This window comes from Homo sapiens, chromosome 18 (genome assembly GCF_000001405.40).
Source record: "Homo sapiens chromosome 18, GRCh38.p14 Primary Assembly".
NCBI lineage: Eukaryota > Metazoa > Chordata > Mammalia > Primates > Hominidae > Homo > Homo sapiens.
The window spans coordinates 3,485,190-3,491,189 of NC_000018.10; the positions used below are offsets into that span (position 1 = coordinate 3,485,190).

At 41.0% G+C, this 6,000-nt stretch overlaps 2 annotated features.

Annotated features, from left to right (window-relative positions):
* Positions 120-199: an enhancer, noted in NCBI's record as "active region_13047". NCBI's record gives its function as "activates an Ori minimal core promoter by ATAC-STARR-seq in GM12878 lymphoblastoid cells {active_cell/tissue: GM12878}" and the evidence as "EXISTENCE:reporter gene assay evidence [ECO:0000049][PMID:35858748]".
* Positions 210-259: an enhancer, noted in NCBI's record as "active region_13048". NCBI's record gives its function as "activates an Ori minimal core promoter by ATAC-STARR-seq in GM12878 lymphoblastoid cells {active_cell/tissue: GM12878}" and the evidence as "EXISTENCE:reporter gene assay evidence [ECO:0000049][PMID:35858748]".

Genomic DNA, 6,000 nt, shown 5'->3' on the forward strand with positions numbered 1-6,000 from the left:
TCTCAGAATGACTGCCAAAGAGCCAGGCTGACCAAGAAGTTTAACCTCAACGGGAAACCTCACACCGGACTGATATACTCATTTATGCCCCAGACAAATGCCCCTTAGATACAAATCAAGAAATTGTTTGTGTCCCACTAGTAAGTGGGTCATACATTTCCTAGTAATGCTTTAGGTGAGGATAGATTTTTTTTTTTTCTGGTACACAGTCCACTAGTTCTTACTTGTCTTTGCCCTGTAATATGAGTTAAAATACAACTCCCGTGATGAGTGGGTCATTCTAGCCATGATACTTCCCTGTGACTGAGTTTTCAAACACTCACTGCTCCCACCTTCCTCACGGCCTTGGCTCAGCCTACTTCTTTTGCTTCAAATACCTCTGCAGTAGGGATTCTCAACCTCAGCGGCACAAAAACATGCAAAACATAGGTGCATTTGTCTAATATAATTGGTTTGCTGTGCAGGTTTCTCAAAGCTTCCCAGGTTGAAAAGCACTGCTGGACAGCAGAGTCTTGGAGGCTGGCCCATGAACTCTGGCATTAGCCTCAACTGGGTGAATTGTGAGAAATCCAGGCAGATTGTCAGAATAGACTTACAAAGTTAGGATCTGCTTGGGGGCCCCAAGCGATTCTTAGGAACACAGATGTTTGAGAATCATTGCTCTGAAGGCTGTCAAAAGCCTGCAAGTCAAACTCCACTTCTTCCATAAATCTTTGCCTATCTCCACTCCAATTCATCACTTTGTGTGTCCATGAGTGTATTTTGTAAGAGGTAGAATGCTTTGGCCACTTTCCAGTTTTTGTTGGGTTTGCTTCTATTGCATTTGCAGTGTGCAACCTTTTCCCTCTTTCTCACCTTTCAAGCAGTAGAATGTGGCTACGAGGGGGTGGGACAGCTTAGTCCATTGTTTTATATTTAATAAAGAAATCGGCCAGGCACAGTGGCTTACGCCTGTAATCCCAGCACTTTGGGAGGCCAAGGCGGGTGGATCACCTGAGGTCAGGAGCTCCACACCAGCCTGACTGACATGGTGAAACCCCGTGTCTACTAAAAACACAAAAATTAGCTGCGCATGGTGGCGCGCACCTGTAATCCCAGTTACTTGGCAGGCTGAGTCAGGAGAATTGCTTGAACCCAGGAGGTGGAGGTTGTAGTGAGCCAAGATCATACCATTGCACTCCAGCTTGGGTGACAAGAGCAAAAAATCCATCTTAAAAAAAAAAAAAAAAGAAAGAAAGAAAAGAAATTGCCGAATAAATTCAGTGCCAAAGCATAGTCTTTCCAGGTCTGGGCCAGAGATATTAAACAGACCTTAGAAAATGGCAGCTTCTGTGTGAAGTCCTCTGTGAGCTCTTTCACACTGAGGAAGAGTCGTCCTAATGTGTGTTAAAAGGCACAGAGCTGTTGGCTTAAACGCAGCTGAAACTACTGTCCAGGGTCACAGCACAGACACCAGTGATAAGTCTTTTGCCCAGTGAGGAGTGGCTGAGGCTGCAGGGCGGAAAGGGTGGCACCCTCAAGCGTGACAAAGGGATACATCTGGGAAATGAAGAGTTCCTGCTCACAGACGAGCAGGTCTCGAAAGTCACGGGCTCTGATATGGGCCTTGTCTGAACAGGAAAACCAGGACATCTCATCTGTCAGGTCTGCTTTAGAAGAAAAGAAAAGAAAAAAAAATACTGACTGAAATATTGCTTACTTCCTAGAGAGAAGGACACATTCTTGGATTGAACCCCAAAGGATGTTGAACTTAACAAGGATGTCAGAACTAACCCCACCATATTCTGGGACCACTTGCTTGCTAAGAACTAAAAGTCACTTAAACCAGTTAAATAAAAGAGAGTTGATTTTAAAGATGCCATGGCTGTACTTCATTCTATGTGGTCATTTATCAGTGTTGTGATTAGCAAGTTGTGCTCCTGTGAGCTCACACATTAGGTTTGCAATGTATGCAAAATCATTTGGTAGCTTTCTGAAAGAGAAGAGGTGTTGAAAGTTTTGGTGTCTGCAAAGTGAATGAGACTCTTTTCTTAAAAATTTCCAAACATGAAAATGTCTTTTTATTTCTTGGAGAAAAATAAATTCACATTTCCAAATGGCATATATCAACATCATAACATCATAACAAGTAGAAAATTTCTAACAGAACAACAGACATTTTATTAAATAAGGTAATAATGTATGCATAATGCCCACTACCTAATAAAAGGCTTTTAGGAAAATCAGTCAATCATCTTTGTTTTCTAGCGTAGCTAGGAATTATAGAATGAAATCTGAGAAGTTGTGAACGTATCTTTTTCTTCTTATAAAGATTAAAAAAATACAGCATTTCCAATTGCCTGCTATGAGATTTTCTAAGTATTCATAATAGGCTTTTGGAAATATTTTCCTGTTTCCTGTTTGAATATTAATTAGTTACAGAATATTAATTATATTATTTATAATTATATCCCATAATTAATATAATTATAAAATGTTAATAAATTGATGGCCATTAACTACGATATTATTGTAGAATGTTAATTAACTGTGAAACTGATTCTATGTTCAGAAAATTTAGGTGGCAGGAGTTGCCACAATCTATTTTTCTGCTCAGTTTTTATTCTAGAGTTGAAAGAAGAGGACTTTGCATGGTCATTTTCTTTACTTGTTTCATTTCTATCAGGTTAAAATTTTGGGGGCTAAATGCACTTCAAGTACCTTTTTTTTCTTTCTGTTTATTTATTTCGATAGCTTTAGGGGTACAGGTTGTTTTTGGCTACATGGATGAATTACGTAGTGATGAAGTCTGAGGTTTTAGTGCACCAGCCACCCAAATAGGTACACTACACCTGATATATAGTTTTTTTATTTCTCCCTTCTGTGTTTCCTGTGTCTATTATACCAAGCTGGATGCCTTTGTGTACCCATAGCTTCGCTCCCAATTTAAGTGAGAACATACGAGTTACTTTACTTAGAATAACGGCCTGTACTCCAGAGACTAACTTTTTAAAATGCTGTCCACTTTGCCCTGGCTACCAGGAAGCCTAGAGAGACATTTCATTTTCATTGGCCACAACTCAGGGACCCTGGGGACCTGGGAGTTTGAAGATGTTATTTACCAATTTCTTTTACTGTCTTTCAGTGCTTTTTGTTTGTTTGTCTGTTTGTTTTCATTTAAAAAGTTGTTCGGTTTTTTTATGCTTTTTTTTTTTGATTCGGAGTCTCACTCTGTCACCCAGGCTGGAGTGCAATGGCACAATCTCAGCTCACTGCAACTTCCACCTCCCGAGTTCAAACTATTCTTCTGCCTCAGCCTCCCAAGTAGCTGGGATTACAGGTGCCCGCCACCACGCCGGCTAATTTTTGTATTTTTAGTAGAGATGAAGTTTTACCATGTTGGCCAGGCTGTTCTCGAATTCCTGACCTCGTGATCCACCCGCCTCGGCCTCCCAAAGTGCTGAGATTACAGGCGTGAGCCACCGCACCTGGCCATATGCTTTATTTATTTCTTATTACTTTTTTTTTTTTGAGATGGAATGTCACTCTTGTTGCCCAGGCTGGAGTGCAATGGCTCAGTCGCGACTCACTGCAACCTCCGCCTCCTGGGTTCAAGCAATTCTGCCCAGGCTTCCGAGTAACTGGGATTACAGGCGTCCACTACCATGCCTGGCTAGTTTTTTTATATTTTTAATAGAGACGGGGTTTCACCATATTGGTCAGGCTGGTCTTAAATTCCTGACCTCAGGTGATCCACCCCACTTGGCCTCCCAAGTTGCTGGGATTACAGGGGTGAGTCACCGTGCCCGGCCTCTCTCTCTCTTTCTTTCTTTCTTTCTTTCTTTCTTTCTTTCTTTCTTTCTTTCTTTCTTTCTTTCTTTCTTTCTTCTTTCTTTCTTCCTTCCTTCCTTCCTTCCTTTCTTTCTTTTTCTTTCTTTCTTTCTTTCTTTTCTTTTTTCCTTTTTCTTTCTTTTCTTTCTTTCCTTTTTCTTTCTTTCTTTCTTTTCTTTCTTCTTTTTCTTTCTTTCTTTTTTTTTTTTTTTTTTTGACAGAATCTCACACTGTCACCCAGGCTGGAGTGCAGTGGCATGATCTCGGCTCACTGCAACCTCCACCTCCTGGGTTCAAGTGATTCTCCTGCCTCAGCCTCCTGAGTAGCTAGGATTACAGGCACCCTCCACTATGCCTGGCTAATTTTTTGTATTTTTAGGAGAGACGGGGTTTCACTATGTTGGCCGTCTCTTGAAATCCTGACCTCGTGATCCGCCCACCTCGGCCTCCCAAAGTGCCGGGATTACAGGCGTGAGCCACCGCACCCGGCCCTATTTCTTATTTCTTATTATTATTTTTAAATTTTAGATTTTAGGGGTACATGGCAGATTTGTTACGTGGTTATAGTGCATGGTGCTGAGGTTTGGGTTTCTAATGATGCCATCACTCAAGTAGTGAACACGGTATCTGACAGGTAGTTTTTCAACCCTTGCCCCATTCCCCACTTCCTCCTTTTGAAATCCCATTGTCTATTGTCACCATCTTTGTGTTCATATGTACTCAACATTTAGCTCCCACTTATAAGTGAAAACATGCAGCATTTGGTTTTCTATTTCTGTGTTAATTCTCTTAGGACAATGGCCACCAGCTGCACCCATGTTCCTGAAAAGGACGTGTTTTGTTCTGTTTTGTGGCTGTGTGTTTTATGCTTTAATTCTGTAAAGCATTTTAAAGTCTTTTTAGAAATAGAATTGAAGAAGAAGAAGAAAGAAAGGACTGTGAAGAAGAAAGAAAGAAGGACTGCGAAGAAGAAGAAGAAAGAAGAAAGAAGAAGAAGAAGAAGAAGAAGAAGAAGAAGAAGAAGAAGAAGAAGAAGAAGAAGAAGAAGAAGAAGAAGAGGAAAGAAAGACGGACTGCCAAGCCTAAGAGTTGGTGTCCTGTGGCATAAACCTCACCACTCAAGTGCTTCTGCTCTGTCTGCTTCCTGACTGGTCCCGCATGTTGAGCACCTGCCTTGTTCAGTAGAGGGTTCTTATGCTAGCATCTGAGGTGTGCGCAAATAGACCCAATTCCCAGATGCATTCACATAGGGCGAAGACTATGCTTACATCCTCCTTCAGTTCTATATTCTGGGAATTATAGAAAAGATTGCACGAAAACCACCTCCCTACACATTTCTAGAGATACACCCCCCAAGCCTCATTGAAACCCAACTGGAAGATTGGAAGATTCTTGATTTTTTTTTTCTGGTTTTTTTTTCTTGAGACAGAGTCTCGCTCTGTCACCTAGGCTGGAGTGCAGTGGCACGATCTCAGCTCACTGCAAGCTCCGCCTCCCGGGTTCATGCCATTCTCCTGCCTCAGCCTCAGTCTGTAGCTGGGACTACAGACGCCTGCCACCACGTCCGGCAATTTTTTTTTTTTTTTTGGTATTTTTAATAGAGATGGGGTTTCACCGTGTTAGCCAGGATGGTCTTGATCTCCTGACCTCGTGATCCGCCCACCTCGGCCTCCCAAAGTGCTGGGATTACAACCACCGTGCCCAGCTTTTTTTTTTCTTTTCTTTTTCTTTTTCTTTTTTTTTTTTTTTTTTTTAGCATCTCTTCGAATTCACTTTCTGAATGCTTTGTTTCATTGTTTGCAAAGGTAGGTGCTAAAACTTATCCATGTTTGGTGAAGTGGAAATCAATGCAGCCGTTTTGGAAAGCCATTTGATAATATTTAAAAACAAAAATGCATATCTATTTGTCTATGAAAAGAACCTATAAATGCACTTCCACATGTACTGAAAATATATTGTAAAACGATTTTCACTGCAGATTTTTTTTTATCATAGCAAGCAACAGAAACAGCCTAAATGTCTATCAATAGATGGACCAGATAATGTTTTATGGCTCATTCATAACATGGAAACATATGAAGCCATCAAAGAGAAAAGGTAGATCACAGTTTTCTGCAATGGAAGAATACATTACAAAATAGAAAAGGCAAACAGTAAAGGGAATGTGTATAGCATGCTACCATTTTGTGG